General features: G+C 38.2%; 1 protein-coding gene and 1 long non-coding RNA gene across 4 annotated transcripts in view, besides 1 other annotated feature; one reads left to right on the forward strand and one right to left on the reverse strand.

The window, feature by feature from the left end:
- The window catches only part of PIWIL4 (piwi like RNA-mediated gene silencing 4), a 54,054-nt gene extending 51,340 nt beyond the window's left edge, over positions 1-2,714 (forward strand). Inside the window, exons 18-20 of the mRNA NM_152431.3 lie at positions 1,053-1,178; positions 1,290-1,437; positions 2,169-2,714. Coding sequence (NP_689644.2) covers positions 1,053-1,178; positions 1,290-1,437; positions 2,169-2,285 — 391 coding nt within the window. The 3' untranslated portion in view covers positions 2,286-2,714. The remainder of the gene's footprint in view (positions 1-1,052; positions 1,179-1,289; positions 1,438-2,168) is intronic.
- The window catches only part of PIWIL4-AS1 (PIWIL4 antisense RNA 1), a 195,024-nt gene that overhangs the window by 73,376 nt on the left and 103,726 nt on the right, over positions 1-17,922 (reverse strand). The gene's annotated exons all lie outside the window — the stretch shown is intronic.
- Positions 15,163-15,363: a silencer, noted in NCBI's record as "peak1402 fragment used in MPRA reporter construct". NCBI's record gives its function as "represses an SCP1 promoter by STARR-seq MPRAs in K562 erythroleukemia cells {active_cell/tissue: K562}" and the evidence as "EXISTENCE:reporter gene assay evidence [ECO:0000049][PMID:32103011]".

Genomic DNA, 17,922 nt, shown 5'->3' on the forward strand with positions numbered 1-17,922 from the left:
GAGGACAATAATCTAAAGTCAGCTTCTTAAAATATTTGGAAAGCATCTTATTCCAAGCAGGACACATAGCCCTATCTGTAGGGTTACATCATCATCATCACCATCAACCAAAGGGTCACAGCCACAAGTCACAAAGGAGCTGAGTCTTGACCTCAGTCGGTTATTGTTAGAGTGGAGGGGAAGCCTGAAAGTTTGGTGGCAGTATCATCTGCAGCTTTATCCCAACTGTTAGGGCCAAAATACTTTGCTCTCCACTGATCTCAGGTGCATGTGTTTATTAAGAATCACAGGTATGCAACTGAGGGATGCAGGAGTAAATTTAGCAGCTGACAGTGCTAAGGAGTTACTTTTCTTGCACTATAACATCAACTTTTGATAGTTTCAATATTGAAAACGTTCGTGATAAATTTTAAAAATAATTATAATGCTTAAAATGAAACTCCGCAGTGATCCTTACATCCCAGAGGATGTAAGGATGCCTTTTGTAATGACAGATATTAGGATTTCGCCTTGGCTTTACCAAATACATTAACACTTCACCATTCAGCATTTGGCCAGAACATATATTTGGTCCATCCATCCATCCACCCAGGCATGAGTTTTGTGTAATACAGAAGGGATGACAAGAGGAATAGGAAGAACTTGTGGTTCTTCCTTTGCTACTTGGAAATAAAATTGAGAGGAAGAGCGAAGGGGAAAATAGGTTGAGTCACTAATCACACACACACACATCTTGTCTCCATGGATAATTCTGGAAAATCTTTCGCAAAAGTGCCAGTTGAAGTTCAGCATTCCTTCCTGCCCCCTTTGAGTGGTATAAACTAGGCAAATGACTTGGGATAGCATCCTTTTGCAACAAATACGGACAATCCCTAATTTAAAAAATTGTATGTATCTCTAGGGAAGGAGGGATTGTAGGTAATTTTTATTTTCTGTTTTGCAGTGTTTTTCAAATGGAATTTTTATTTATTTCATTTTTTAAATTACACAAAAATAGAAAGCTATATAGATTGGATTGAGTTCTTTTCATATTTTGCCTCTCTAATTTTTAGCTCAAGACTGTCGGTGATTGTGGTCAGGAAGAAGTGCATGCCACGATTCTTTACCGAAATGAACCGCACTGTACAGAACCCCCCACTTGGCACTGTTGTGGATTCAGAAGCAACACGTAACGAATGGCAAGTGCCGCTGGAAAATCAATTTTTAACAAAACATTCATTGCGTCCAGTTTATGTTTGACCTTATTCTGTTTGCCTTCTTTCCTACATTCATTCCATTTTCCCCCTCAGGTATGACTTTTATCTGATCAGCCAGGTGGCCTGCCGGGGAACTGTTAGTCCTACCTACTATAATGTCATCTATGATGACAACGGCTTGAAGCCCGACCATATGCAGAGACTTACATTCAAATTGTGCCACCTGTACTACAACTGGCCGGTGAGTGAAAGCTGTTTACTTAATGTAAATATGATACTCAAGAGTCCCACCTAGGAATTATCATACACGTCATCTTTGTATCCCTAGATATAGCACAATACCTGATATTTCCTAAAGAAGGAATGAATGAATGAATGAATCAATGAATGAATCACTTCTTGAGTCCACAGTGGGAGGAAAGCAGTCTATCATAGAAACAAAATAACAATAACTATTATAATACATTAATAGTTACAGTTTCTAGACGACTTTGTTATATACATTATCTTATGCAAACCTGGGAGGAAATCAGGGTATTGTTATTTACATGTTACAGATGAAGAAATTGAAGCCAACTCAGATGTGCCTGGTGGGGAAGTGTTAACAGGCCTGGGTCTGCCCTTTGTTCCTGTGCATTAGGCCAAGAGCTGTTCCCAAAGGCCAAGCCCAAGGTTTGCACGAAGCTCCTCCAAGGAGTTCCAAACTTGAGATCACAGGACAAAGACTAGTCTGAAGTGTGATGGCTCCCTACTCCCAGCACCATGAAGCCAGAGTGACTTTTCACTCCATCCTCCCCAGTGAGCTTAAGTTCCCAGTAAGTTAGGTTACCTTTTGTTGGTTGAGGTTACCTGTTGTTTACCCAGAAGCCCATTCTATTATCTGTGTAACCAGTAGACAAAGTAAAATCAGAAAAAATCTCTTTGAAGAACAAGGTAATCTCTTAATTATTATCAATACTTTTTTCTCCTCAGGGCATAGTCAGTGTCCCAGCACCATGTCAGTATGCTCACAAGCTGACCTTTCTGGTGGCACAAAGCATTCATAAAGAACCCAGTCTGGAATTAGCCAACCATCTCTTCTACCTGTGATGGCATGAACTACTGGCATCACTAGATGGACAATCCAAGAAGAAATTGGTATACTTTGTGCAAATCTGCCATAAGCTCAAGGCTGTGACTGGGGAAAAAGATTGAGCTTAGTTTTCATGTCTAGGAAAAAAAGCAAAACAACTTAATCTGAAACAGTTTTAAAAAATGTGTGTTATTTTGTTTTAAAGAGTTGTATGCTTGGGGTAAATTTTCATTGTCATATGTGGAATTTAAATATACCATCATCTACAAAGAATTCCACAGAGTTAAATATCTTAAGTTAAACACTTAAAATAAGTGTTTGCGTGATATTTTGATGACAGATAAACAGAGTCTAATTCCCACCCCAAATTTTGCTGAGGTTTTCTTAATGTTGTAGAGCATTTTGTAGAGTGGTTTAAATAGTTGAAAATAAAGTTCAGAACATCATGTGTTTATTGTTATTTGAATTTTACGTTGATATTACATGTGAACCTCATAATTGAAGTATTTTCAGCAAAACCTCTTACCCACTAGAGCACATCACCATTAATCTTTGAGTTCTATTTCGGAAACTGAGCTGATCACTTGCTCTCTTGATGGGACTTTATTTCACTTAATAGCAGCTTCTCCCAGTGATGACCTTGCTTCCTATTTACTGATAAAAAGGAAGCTATCAGAAGAGAACTTTTGCAAACCTCTCGTTATCTCTACCTTCACCTAACGGCATCTGTACCCATAGACTCTGCCTGCCCTTCCCTTTATTATGAGTGCAGCATGTCTGTTCCTATAAGGCGCTCCACCTCTGTACTAAATCTCAATCCCTCTGACCTGTGAAGGATGCTGCTCTAGCAGTTCTCCCTTCTCCTTTCTGCATCATCAGTTTTCTCTCTCACTACTGGCTCATTCTCACTGGCATTATAAATATGCTGTTATTTCTCTCATCTTAAAAAGCCATTTCCTCTAGCTTCCACCCCATTGCCTGGCACTTCTTTACAGGAAAAACATCGCAAAAGAAGAGTCTGTGCTTGATGTATCCAATTCTGTATTCCAATCACAATTTCACCACAACCACTACAGCAAACTTGCCTTAGTCAACACCACCAATAACCTCCACTTTGCTAAATCCAATGGTCACCTCTTGGTCCTTGTCTTGCTTGACCCAGTCAATCATTTCCTCCCTCTGAGACATTCTTTATTTGGCCTGTAGAATAACACTCTCCTGATTTCTCTCCTACTGCATATTGATCACTCATGCTGTCTCCTTTTGTGGCTTTTCCTCATCTTCTCAACCTTTTCATGTTGGAATGCCCCAGGAATGAGAATACAGCTACATGCAAAAGATATTTTGATGAGGGATAGATCAGAGTTCAAATTCTGCTTACCACGGGAAGGTCTGTGGAAGTCTGCAACAAAGGGTGGCAGGAGAGTGGCAAGTGCTCTCTGGGGACAAGGGAAGCAGGCCACAGGAGGGATGCCAATGCACAGGTTACATCACTTTGCACTGAAAATATTCTTTTCCTATTTGAGAGTTTTGTCCAGACATAGTAGAAATGCACCCAACAGGGGTCTACCAATAATAGGATAACCATTTTGTGAAGCATGAGGGTGGAGGGGACTTAATAAGTTTCAGGGCCAGTGCCATGCCTACATATACACATTTAATCTCCACAAGAACTGTATAAATTAGGTTATAATGACCATTTCAGATGGTAAAGCTGGGGATTAAAGATACCACGTGACTCACTGAAGTTTATGAGATTAATAAATTGTGGAGCTAGAATTTGTCCTCAGGTTTGTTTGCAAAACCTGTAAGATGAACCAAAAGAGTCTACACCCTTGATAAAAGATACTCTAAGATTTAAAAAATTTCTCCCAGAGCACTAATGTGAGGTAGTGCCTTATGGGATTTAAAGATGGCATTATATGGCGGGCACCTGTAGTCCCAGCTACTCGGGAGGCTGAGGCAGGAGAATGGCGTGAACCCGGGAGGCAGAGCTTGCAGTGAGCCGAGATTGCACCACTGCACTCTAGCCTGGGACGACAGAGCAAAACTCTGTCTCAGAAAAAAAAAAAAAAAAAAAAAAGATGGCATTATATAGCAAGTCTTTGGAGACAAGGCACTGATCCAATTCAAGGTGGTGGGTTTTGTTTTTGTTTATCTTGTTGTTTTCTTCCTTCAAAGTAGAACGGTGATATAAATCCCCACTACCTAACCAGCCAGCTTGTATAAATCCACACGAAACATTTTGATTAGGCAATACAACCTTCTGCAGAGCGCCCACCCACCCTTTTAAGTACTGCCCCAGGAAATGACTTCTTACCCCTTTAACCCACCAGAGGGCACACAAGGACTGCTGTGTGAATAGAGTCCTTCATCATGGCAGTGTCATAGGCTTCAACAAACAATTTCAGGTAAACTCCTAGAGGGCAACATGGGACTAAGAAATCTTCATATGAGCTCTGGTTCCAGCACGTTTGGTTGTCAGATGTGATAACTTCACTTTCTGGGACTCAGTTACCCAATCTGTAATATGAGAGGGCTTGGACAAGACCAGTGGTGCCTAATCTTGAGAAGATTAGAAGTTCCCATGTTTAAAAGCTTTAGAACAAAAAAATAGAGATGCCTGGGTCTACCTCTCAAAATAGTGATTTAAATGGTCTGAGATGGGGCCTGATCATCCGAATATTTTAAAAGTTCTCGAAATGGTTCTGATGTTCAGCCAGGGCTGAGGAATACTGGTTTAGATAATATATGAGACCTATTTCAGCTTCACGTTATGTGATTGCCACCTCTCACATGCATTAATTAGTTTTCCTTAGGCTACCAAGGACAAAGAGGAAAGGGAGCCTGTGCCAGGCTTCAGAGCAGCACTGGATTTGAATCCTAGAACCACCACTTATAGTCGTGTGACATTGGGCAAGTTACTTAACCTCTCTGAGCCTCAGTGTATCTACTTGTAAAAATGTCTAACAATGTCTGCATTGTAGAGTTATTGTAAGGATTAGAAATGTCAAATCTGAAGTATCTGGCCTTAATAAAGGGTATCATCTTATTAGACCTGAGGAGAGGAAATGAATCAAATGGCACAATTTAGTTAACAAATAGTTATGGGTTTCTATTATGTGCCAGGCACTGTACTAGATTCTGAATTCTACAATTCTACTTAAGGGAAAGCTTAATATTGTCTCTAGAAATAAACAATCTACCAGTTCCTATTTTATAGAAAGGATTTTGTAGTTTTTCTTTTATTTTGAGAACTGAGGGAGAGACTCTGGAAGAAAGTATACTTTAAATACATTTCTGTGGCCACCATGGAGTGGCCCATCAGATTATCCTTTAAAAGAACCTTCTGCAAGGAGCATAGTTGGCTGACAGCCTCTAAATGCTACAGCTTCAGGATCCACCACAGGGGTGATGAGACCATACCCTCCCCAGACTGATTCTAGCCCATTACTGAGCACAGGAGAGGTAATAGATCTGGGTTGTTTCTGCCCAACATGGGACTCCACTATTAGTCTCTGATAGGTAATATGCTGTGTTTAGCTCTGTGTCCCCACCCAAAGCTTATGTTGAATTGTAATCCCCATGTGTTGGAGGAGTGGCCTGGTGAGAGGTGATTAAACCGTGAGGGTGGATTGCCCCCTTGCTGTTTTCATGATAGTGAGTGAGTTCTTACCATATCTCGTTGTTTGAAAATGTGTAGCACTTCCCCCTTCTCTCTCTCTCTCTCTCCTGCTGCCATGTGAAGATGTCCTTGCTCCCTTTTTGGCCTTCTGCCATGATTGTAAGTTTTTTGAGGCCTCCCCAGCCATGCCTCCTGCACAGCCTGTGGAACTGTGAGTCAATTAAATCTCTTTTCTTTTTCTTCATAAATTACCCAGTCTCAGGTAGTTCTTTACAGCAGTGTGAGAATAGACTTAACACAGTAGGGGAACCCACTTTGTCTTGACCAAGGTTTTCTAAGAACTGCACTAAAGTTTTGAGCTTTTTCTACTGATCCTCTTTCCTTCCCACTCCGTTTCATGTATTTCAGATTAGCACTGAGGTCTTAAGGCCCTCCCTAGTCACTCCTACTTCCTCTCACCAGTATTCTTCACAGGTGTTTCTCCCAGTAAATCTTCTGAATGCTTAATTCTGTCTTGGTGTGTGCTTCTTAAGGGACCCAAACTGACACAACTTTCTTCCCTATTAAATGACTCTTTACCTTTTAATAAAAATAAGTCTATTTTTAATCTTAAGCACTTTGTCAACCACAACATAAAACATTTTTAAAAACCTTTTACCTAGAGATATCATAACTTTTTAAATACTAGGTGTATTAGTCCGTTTTCACACTGCTGATAAAGACATACCTGAGACTGGGCAATTTATAGAAAAGAGGTTTAATTGGACTTACAGTTCCACGTGGCTGGGGAAGCCTCACAATCATGGTGGAAGGCAAGGAGAAGCATGTCACCTTACATGGATGGCAGCAGGCAAAGAGAGAGCTTGTGCAGGGGAACCCCTCTTTTTAAAACCATCAGATCTCATGAGACTTTTTCACTGTCACAAGAACAGCATGGGAAAGACTTGCTCCCATGATTCAATTACCTTCTATTGGGTACCTCCCACAACATGTGGGAATTCAAGATAAGATTTGGGTGGGAACACAGCCAAACCATATCATTCCGCCCCTGGCCCCTCCCAAATTTGATATCTTCACATTTCAAAACCAATCGTGCCCTCCCAACAGTTCCCCAAAGTCTCAACTCAATTCAGCATTAACTCAAAAGTCCTCAGTCCAAAGTGTCATACAAGACAAGGCAAGTCCCTTCCGCCTATGAGCCAGTAAAATCAAAGGCAAGTTAGTTACTTCCTAGATACAATGGGGATACAGGCATTGGATAAATACAGCCTTTCCAAATGGGAGAAATTGGCCAAAACAAAGGGGCTACAGGCCCCATGCCAGTCCAGAAATCCAGTGGGGCAGTCAGATCTTAAAGCTCCAAAATGATCTCCTTTGACTCCATGTCTCACATCCAGGTCATGTTGATGCAAGAGGTAGGTTCCCACAGTCTTCAGCAGCTCCACCCCTGTGGCTTTGCAGGGTAAAGCCCCCCTCCTGTTGCTTGCACAGGCTGGCATTGTATGCAGCTTTTCCAGGTGCACAGTGCAAGCTGTGGTGGATCTACAATTCTAGGGTCTGGAGGATAGGATAGTGGTCCTCTTCTCACAGCTCCACTAGGCAGTGCCCCAGTAGGGACTCTGTGTCGGGGCTCCAATCCCACATTTTCCTTCTGCACTGCCCTAGCAGAGGTTCTCTGAGAGCCTTAGCCCTGCATACAACTTCTGCCTGGGCATCCAGGCATTTCAATACAACTTCTGAAATCTAGGCAGAGGTTCCCAAACCTCAATTTTTGACTTCTATGCACTCACAGGCTCAATACCACGTGAAAGCTGCCAAGGCTTGAGGCTTGCACTCCCTGAAGCCATGGCCTGAGCTCTACGTTGGCTCCTTTCAGCCACAGCTGGAGTGACTGGGACACAGGGCACCAAGTCCCTAGGCTGCAGACAGCACAGGGACCCTGGGCCTCACCCACAAAACCACTTTTTCCTTCTAGGCCTCCAAGACTGTGCTAGGAGGGGCTGTGGCAAAGATCTCTGGCATGTCCTGGAGACATTTTCCCCGTTGTCTTGGTGATTAACATTCAGCTTCTCATTATTTACACAAATTTCTGTAGCTGGCTTGAATTTTTCTTCAGAAAATGGGATTTTCTTTTCTATTGCATTGTCAAGCTGCAAATTTTTCAAATGTTTATTCTCTGTTTCCCTTTCAAAACTGAATGCCTTTAGCAGCACCCAACTAACCTCTTGAATGCTTTGCTGCTTAGAAATTTCTTCCACCAGATGCCCTAAATCATCTCTCTCAAGTTCAAAGTTCCACAAATCTCTAGGGCAGGGATAAAATGCCGCCAGTCTCTTTGCTAAATCATAACAAGAGTCACCTTTGTTCTAGTTCCCAACAAGTTCCTCATCTCCATCTGAGACCACCTCAGCCTGGACCTTATTGTCCATATCACTATGAGCATTTTGGGCAGAGCCATTCAACAAGTCTCTAGGGGGTTCCAAACCTTCTCACCTTCTCACATTTTCTTGTCTTCTTCTGACCCTTCCAAACTGTTCCAACCTCTGCCTGTTATGCAGTTCCAAAGTTGCTTCCACATTTTTGGGTATCTTTTCATCAGCACCCCACTTCTGATACCAATTTACTGTATTAGTCCATTTTCACACTGCTGATAAAGACATACTTGAGACTGGGCAATTTACAAAAGAAAGAGGTTTAATTGGACTTACAGTTTCCATGTGGCTGGGGAAGCCTCACAATCATGGTGGAAGGCAAGGAGAAGCAAGTCACGTCTTACATGGATGGCAGCAGGCAAAGAGAGAGAGCTTGTACAGGGGAACGTCTCCTTTTATAACTGTCAGATCTCATGAGACTCATTCACTGTCACAAGAACAGCATGAGAAAGACTTGCACCCATGATTCAATTACTCCCACCAGGTCCCTCTCACAACACGTGGGAATTCAAGATAAGATTTGGGTGGGGACAAAGGCAAACCATATCACTGGCTTTGAGTTAACAATTTCCTTTGGGAAAATTTACTCTTAAATCTTTCTAACACACTTCAAGATCTCAGACATGAAATGTAAACAACTTTTGAGAGCTGTTGTCAAAAGGCTGTATGTTGCACTGTTAACCTGTATGTTGCACTTTCATCTGACCCAGGGCCCACTGGCCAAGAATAATCCAACAGCTCCTACTGGAAGATAAGGAAAGGACTTATTTTGAAGGGACAGAGGATGAGGAGGACTAAAGAATTTATGACTGAATCAATATCCTTCCAATTTATTGGGAAAGCTTTTTTCAAAAAATCATTGACTTTAAAATTATAAAAATAATAGATCTGTAGTATGGAATATTTGAAAAGCACAGAAAAGTATGAAGAGATAAAGAAAAATATCACCAACACAGCTAGGAATTTGAAACCTAGAAAATCTATCTCGATGTAGGGATTTGAGAAATATTAACTATTTATGGTTTTAATTTCCTTTCATTTAACTCTGTAAATCTATCTATATTACATTTTAGTGTAAAGTGAGAATCTAAACTATTTTTTCCAAGTAATTTTGGAAAAAAATTGGTGGACTAAAAAAGAAAGTAGAAATTCTAAAAATGAAAAAAATATTTGAAGTAAAAATTTCAAGAGATTTGTTAAGCAGTAGACTAAAAACAGATGAACAGAAAATTAGTAAATTGGGAGGCAGACTTTAGGAACTCACTTAGAATGCAGTAGATAGACATTGAGTGTAAAAGTAGACACCCACCACAGATTTGGTAGGTGTTCCTGATACAGAAAATATCAAGAATGAGATAGGAATCAATTCTTAAATAGACAATGCTTGAAAGTGTTCCAACATTGAAATACACACTCTTAGAATGAAAAAAAAATCACAAGTAGAATAAATAAGAATTTTCATACCTAATACATTGTCATAACATTGCATAACATCAACTATAAACGGAAAAGCTTAAGATTTCAAGGAAGAAATGCAGACTTGCAGACTGCCTGCAAAGAAGAAATTACACTGTGTAGGCTTAATGTTACAAGAAAAGATAAGAAAAAATGAAATAATATCTTTAAAGTCCTGAGGGGAAAGAATAATGAAGCTAGAACTTTATGTGAAACTAAATGATGTTTGAAGACTGAGTGATAAATTTTTTTTTTTTTTTTTGAGACGGAGTCTCTCTCTGTTGCCCAGGCTGGAGTGCAGTAGTGCAATCTTGGCTCACTGCAAGCTCTGCCTCCTGGGTTCATGCCATTCTCCTGCCTCAGCCTCCCAAGTAGCTGGGACTACAGGCGCCTGCCAGCACGCCTGGCTAATTTTTTTTTTTGTATTTTTAGTAGAGACGGGGTTTCACTGTGTTAGCCAGGATGGTCTCAATTTCCTGACCTCGTGATCCACTTGCCTTGGCCTCCCAAAGTGCTAGGATTACAGGTGTGAGCCATCATACCTGGTCAAGTGAGTGATATATTTAAAAATTCAAATATAATAAGAGTTTACTGCCCACAGCCCTTGCTGAAAGAACTACTAAAGAATGTACCTCAGCAGAACAAAAAATAAACCCATTGAATAAAGGATGGGTGAGCAAAGAAACCACTAAATATGATGCAAATGTAAATTGTACTGGCTGTTTAAAAAATATTTTTTCAGGCCAGGCATGGTGGCTCACACCTGTAATCCCAGCACTTTGGGAGGCCAAGGTGGGCGGATCACGAGGTCAGGACATTGAGACCATCCTGGCTAAGATGGTGAAACCCTGTCTCTACTAAAAGTACAAAAAATTAGCCAGGCATGGTGGTGGATGCCTGTAGTCCCAGCTACTCGGGAGGCTGAGGCAGGAGAATGGCATGAACCCGGGAGGCGGAGGTTGCAGTGAGCCGAGATCGTGCCATTGCACTCCAGCCTGGGTGACAGAGTGGGACTCCGTCTCAAAAAAAAAAAAAAATTTTTTTTTCATGTTAATAAAATTTAGAAATCAGCATGGGCAATACAAGCACATAACACAAGCAAGATGATAGCATTTAGAGGGAAGCTAAAGTGAGCTCAAGTCTTTATGTTGTTAGAAAGGATATTAGAGATTCTAACTTTACATTTGATTAGAATATAGTAAAGTTAAATATGTATGTGATTATTTTCTAAAAGAATGAAGGCACCATCTATAACTTTGAATTCAGTGGAAGGAAAATAAAGAGGATAAGGATTGTTGAAAGAATAACTTTAGACAAATTAAATTTAACAAAGTTTGTTTGAACAAAGAATGTATCTGGCAGCACTCAGAACCAGAAGAGATTCACAGAGCTCCACCCAGCAGTTGAGTGGCCAGCTTTTATAGGCCAAATATGAAGCAAAGTTGAGAAATCACCTGATCAGCTAGGCTTTTGCCTTATGTGGCATGAACTGATTCATGATTAGCTGTGATTGGCTGAAGCTCAGCTGCTTCTGATTGGCTGAAACTCTGCTATATTTATTACAAAAATATATCGTTGACCCTTGAAAAATGTGGGGTTTGGAGCTTCAGCCTCTCACACAACTGAAAGTTCCCATATAAATTTTGACTCCCCCAAAAGTTAACAGCCTACTCTTGACCAGAAGCCTTATGAATAACAAAGTCTGTTAACACGTATGTTGTTTGCTATACGTACTATCTACTGTATTCTTACAATAAACTAGAGAAGATAAAATGTTATTAAGAAAATCATAAGGAAGAGAAAAATACGGTTACTGTTCATAAAGTGGAAGTGGGTCATTATAAGTTCTTTATCCTTGTCATCTTCATGCTGAGTAGGCTGAGAAGGAAGGAAGAGGAGGGGTTGGTGTTGTTTTTTCAGGGGTGGCGGAAGTGGAAGAAAATCCATGTTTAAGTGGACCCACTCAGTTCAAACCCTTGCTGCTCAAGAGTCAACTGTAGTTAGGTTGTGGTTTCTTACACAGGATCTCGAAGTACACAGCCAGCCTCAGGCTAATGGACTGCTTACTTGATTTACTGGGATACTATCAATTCAATAGAGGAAAAGAGAAGAGGGGGAGCAAAGAAAAAAGAATATGATAAATATGAAATACCAAATAAGATGACATATATACACTTACAAATATAATCAATGTTAATAAATGTAAAATATTAATTTTACTTATTGGAGACTGTGAGAGTGGATCTAAAAATCTATATATTGTATATAAGAGACTCATCTAAAATGAAAAACATAGAAAGGTTATAAGTAAAAAAATAGGAAAAGATATACAGTTGAGCATGAAACAACTTTTTTGAGCTGTATGGATCCACTTATATGCAATTTTTTTTCAAACAAACGCAGACTGAAGATACAGTATTCTCAGGATGTGAAACCTATGTATACAGAGGGCCAACTTTTTGTATTCATAGATTCTGCAGGGCCAACTGTGAAACTTGAGTATGCTTGGATTTCAGAATATGTGGGGGTCCTGGAGCCAATTCCCCACATATTCCAGGGATGACTGTACTTTGAATAAATAGTTAAAATAAAGCTGGGATAGCAATATCAAATGAAATTGAATTTAAGGGTGAAAGTAAGGACATTATATATTTATAAAAGTAGCAAAAACAAAGCCCCAGAAGATATAGCAATCATGAATTATTGCGTATGTTTTAACTATAGCTTTGAAACACAAAAGTAAAACTGCAAGGATTACAAAGAGAAACTTACCAACTTTTTAAATCCACAAGTAAACAGGGAGACTTTAATATGTATCTCTTAAAAATTGGCCAAAAAGACATGATTATTAGAAATTATATAGATTTGAAAAAGCTGTTAGCAAACATGATTTAAGAGACACAAAGCAATTCTCCACAAATTCCAAATAATTGATAGTATATAGACACATTGAGGGAAACAGTTTATGGCTTAAAATAAATCACACTGAAAATTTTTGAAATGAGAAAAGAAGATTAAATAATAAAAAACTTGTAGGGTAAAGTTAAACTGATATTTACAAGGAAATTTGCAGTGTTCAATGTGCATACTAGAAAACAAAAGAAGACTGAAATTTATTTAACCAAACAACTAACTAAAAGATGCTACAGAGCAATAGGGAAAAACCCAAGGGGGAAAAAAAGGAAATAACAATAATATAATATATCAGTGAAAAATAACATGAATTTTAAAACCCAATAGAAATTATGGGAAAAAGAACAAAATCTGATTTTTTTTGTTTAGTTTTTATTGTGGAAATTTTCAAATACGGATAAAAGTAGAGAATAGTACAATGAACCCAATTTACACTGTTTCAGTAATTACCATACTATGGACAATCTTCCTTCATATATACTCCCAGCACTCTTCTTACCTTATTATTTTATAGCAAATCCTAGGCATCTTATAACTAAAATCTAGTTTTCTGAGGGTAAAAACTCAGAAGGGTTTTTAGCAAGATTCATGAATTGAAAAAGAGAAGGCACAAATAAAACAATGTTAGGAATTTAAAAAAGGTGTAGTAAAGACTTCAAAATATCATGTGAATACTACGACACCCTTATGCCAATAATTTTAAAAATTTTAAATGAAGGTATAATTTTCTAGGAATATGTAAATTAACAAAATTTGCCCAAGAAAAAATAGAAAAACTTACTATAGTGTGGTAGTTAATAGCATAGATTCTACAACCAGAACTCTTACTGCCTGGGTTCAGTTTTGGCTCTGCTTCTTTGCCTCAGTTTCCTCAGATGCAAAATAGTAATAATAATTTTACCTAGCTTATAAGACTGTTGTATTGATTAGATTAGTAGTAATTGTAGAAATGCTTAATTAGAAGGAAGCCTGACATGGTATAGGTGTATCCTATTGCAAATATGGTACTAACAAAATAACAAGAGATTACATCAGTAGTCAACAATGACCTCCCTCAAAAGAAAACAGAGCCAGAGAGATTTGCAACTGTTTTACTATAGTCAAAGAACTGATAATTCCCATGTTATACAAGCTGTTCCAGATAATAGACAAAGACAAAGCCATTCAACTTATTTTATGAGACAATATAATTTAATCCCAAAACCAGTAAAGACAGTATAAAAAAGAAAACGACATGCCAAGTCACTTGTAAACATCGACATAAAAAAAATCTAAGTAAAACATTAGGAAATTCCATTTAGCAGCATAGAAAAATAGGTTTTAAATAAGACTAAGCATGGTTTATTCCAGGAATGCACAGATTTAACTTTAGAAAATGTATCAATGTAATTTACCACATAGCAGATTAAGAGGCAATCCGTATAATTACTGTAACAGGTACAGACCAAGAATTCAGAAAAGTTTAGTGCTCATTTGTGATGTAAAAAGACAGTTTCTAACAAAGTATAAATAATAGGAAACTTGATTATCTTTGGCATAAAAAAAGACATCTCACAAAAACCTACATTATATAATAAATTTTATTATATATCATCAACTAAGTGTTTAAAAGATTTTCCGGCCGGGCGCGGTGGCTCACGCCTGTAATCCCAGCACTTTGGGAGGCCGAGGCGGGTGGATCATGAGGTCAGGAGATCGAGACCATCCTGGCTAACAAGGTGAAACCCCGTCTCTACTAAAAATACAAAAAATTAGCCGGGCGCAGTGGCGGGCGCCTGTAGTCCCAGCTACTGGGGAGGCTGAGGCAGGAGAATGGCGTGAACCCGGGAAGCGGAGCTTGCAGTGAGCCGAGATTGCGCCACTGCAGTCCGCAGTTCGGCCTGGGCGACAGAGCGAGACTCCGTCTCAAAAAAAAAAAAAAAAAAAAGATTTTCCCAGAAAGTCAGAAACAAGTCAAAGATATCGTTTATCACAGCTATTATCAATACTATGCTAGAGGTTCTAGCCAATAAAGCAATGGAGATACAGCAATAAAAAAAGAGAGAAAATTATCATTATGTCTTCATGGTATGGTGTCTATAAAATCTAAGAGATCCTTCAGAACTAATAAAATTATTCAACAGTTAAATCATATAAAACTACCTTCAAAAATCAATAGCATTCCTAACAACCCAGTATTTACACAAAACTTGAAAAAAAATCTAATTTAGCAATAAAAGTGATTGGAAGCCTAAGCGTAAATAAGACAAAACATTCGTAAAACTTTTTTTGCTGAGAAAATTTCAAAACTTGAAGAACACATAAGAAGGTCTTAATAAGTGGACAGGTAAACTGCTCATGAATAGGAAGATTCAATATGGTAAAGATGGCAATCCTCCCCCAAATGCATCTATAATTTCAATGCGATTCCAATATAAATCCTAACATGGTTTCCCATAAAACTTTATAAACATTTTAAAATTTATGTGGCAGAACAAAAGTCCAAAAATATCTGATAAATCTCTGAAAAAGAATAACAAGAAAGGGTTGCTTATTCTACCGGGTATCAGAGTTTATTATGAAGCTAATTAAGTAAAACTGTGGTTTCGGCTGAGTCATAGATAAAAGCTCAGGTGAACAGATTAAAATCCCAGAAACAAATTGCTGCATATATGAATCTGTCATTTAGTAGAATTGGCATTACAGTTGAAAGGATGAACTACTTAATAAAAGATACTGGGATAGCTAGGTTTCATATAGAAAGAAAATTAGACTCCTAGCTCACATGAAAAACAAAAAGAGACTTCATGTAGCTTAAAGAAAACATGAAAAAGAATTGCAACAACTAGAAGAAAATATAGGGAATATCTTTAAGATATTAAAGTAGGGGAAAATTTCTTAAGCAATATAGAAAAAGTATAAATTATACAGGAAAAGACTGATGACTTTGTCAAAATGTAAACTTCTGAATGACAAATGAGACAGTAGTAATGCTAAAAGACAAACTGTAGGCTAAAACAGTATATGTGTAACATACACAACAAGAAAAGGATGATTAACCCAAATATGCAAAAACAAAAAAAGTTTAAGTTAGTAAGAAAAACAGACAAAAACACCCAGTAGAAAAAAGGGCCCAAGAGCAATTCACTAACAAATATCTAAGATGATACTCAACTTCACCAGTAGTAATAAGGAAAATTAAAAATAAAACACCAATGAGATTTAATTTCACTCTTATACATTCGGAAAAAATTAAACTATCTGTCAGTAATAACTGTTGTTGAGAATGCAGAGAAACAAACTCTTAAACATTGCTGCTAGGAGCATGAACCGGTTCAATCATATCTGGAAGCCCATATCCTACAAACCAGCAATTCTACCTTGAGGTTTATACTTCAGAGAATTTCTTGCACCTGTCTATAAGAAGAAAATGGATAAACTATACTGTAGGCATACTACAGAATACCATATAGCAATGAAAAGAAATTAACTGGCTCAGACTATGTAGATCTACATGAATAGTTATCAAAAAAAAAAAAAGGTTAAGTGAAAAAAAATCAAGTTAAAGAATGATGGGTACATCATGCTGTCACTGAAACCAAATGGGGTCTGTTTGCCCATGTGCAGTGGAAAGCCAACACCGAAGCACTGGGTTTTTGCTGTGAGAAAGGTTAATCGCAAGTCCACTGGCCACATGAGAGGAGGAAATGCTCAAATGTCTCCCTGAGCTGGGGGTGGGTCAGATTTTAAAATGGGTAATAAGGCATGATCTGATTGGATCTGGCAGTGAGGTGAGGCCAGGACGCATGCTCTGGCTGGATCCTGCCATGCTGTGTCTGCTGCTTCTTAATTCAGTCCTGCTCCTTCATCCCAGCACTTAGGTTCCCCTTGTGGTTGCACATTTGGTTCATCTGGGCATGCTCAGATTATGTGCCCTTTAACCTGGGGGTCCATGGCAACTGAAAAACAACTCACAACTTTGTCACATAAAAGTTGAACCAGTTGGTCTGATGTGCTTACAATGTCATTCATAGACAAGAATTAACATACATGTAAATACCACATATTTCCCTGGTTTTATAGGCGTGTGTGTACATACATATAAAAGGAAAAAGTGGAAATGGAAGATTGCACACTAAATTCATGACAGTGGTTACATCTATGAGGCAGGGAGGGTTGTGAATTATAGGTAAGGATGCTCAATAAAGGGAATTTGACTATAATTCTATTAGTTTTCTTAAAAAATGAAACAAATACAAAAATGATAACAACTGTCAATTCTGGGTTGATGATATTTGCATCTTTGTCTTATTTTTTTTTTCTGTAATTTAAAAGTTTACCAAACTTAAAATTATAATTAAAACAAAAGCAGACAACTCCAATCTAACCATGAGAAAAATATCAGAAAAATATCCGTTTAAGGAAAGTCTACAAAACACTTGTCGAGGTCAAGAAAGACAAGAAAAGACTGAGAAACTGTCACAGCCAAGATAGGCCTAAGGAGACATGGTAATTAAATATAATATATCTTGGATCCGATCTTGGAATAGAAAAAGAGCAATGAATAATAATTAAGGAAATCTGAATGAGGTATGGATTTTTGATAACAGTAACATATAAATATTAGTACATTAACTGTTACAAAGGCAGTGTACTAATATAAGACAATAATAGGGAAAACTGGGTGTAGGGTATATGTGAACACTTTGTCCTATCTTGGCAACTTTTCTTTAAATCTAAAATTATTGTAAGATAAAAAAGTATGTAAAAAACGGAATAGGTATAGTATTCTTCCAGTTTCGTGTGAGTGTGTGTGAGTGTACACAAAAAGACAAGCAGAATATTTATCAAAAATATCAATGATTAGGTCTACATGGTGGAAGTATGGGTAGCTTTCCTTTCTCTTTCATTCTTTTATTTTTCAAATTCCTGCCTTCTAATATAAGTCAAATGTGATATACTGATAGTTTTAGCTATCAGAAACATTATCAAGACCTTGGCACCGTTTCTATCAGCACATGGTAATTATGGGCCCCATTCTCCTAACACTCACTTCCTATATTTGCCCGGGATGCTTGCTAAAACTGAGTTCTATACTAAGAATTTCCAGGGAAGAAACTTGAGAATTTATTTTTTAACAAGTCCCTAGGTGATTTTTGTGTGTGTTTGTGTCTGGTGGCTGTTCAGATAAGTTTAGGAAACTGACTCAGCTAATTCTCACTTAAAGCTCAGCTCAGTGTCAGCTCTGCT

The sequence above is a fragment of the Homo sapiens genome, chromosome 11, assembly GCF_000001405.40.
Source record: "Homo sapiens chromosome 11, GRCh38.p14 Primary Assembly".
Lineage (NCBI taxonomy): Eukaryota > Metazoa > Chordata > Mammalia > Primates > Hominidae > Homo > Homo sapiens.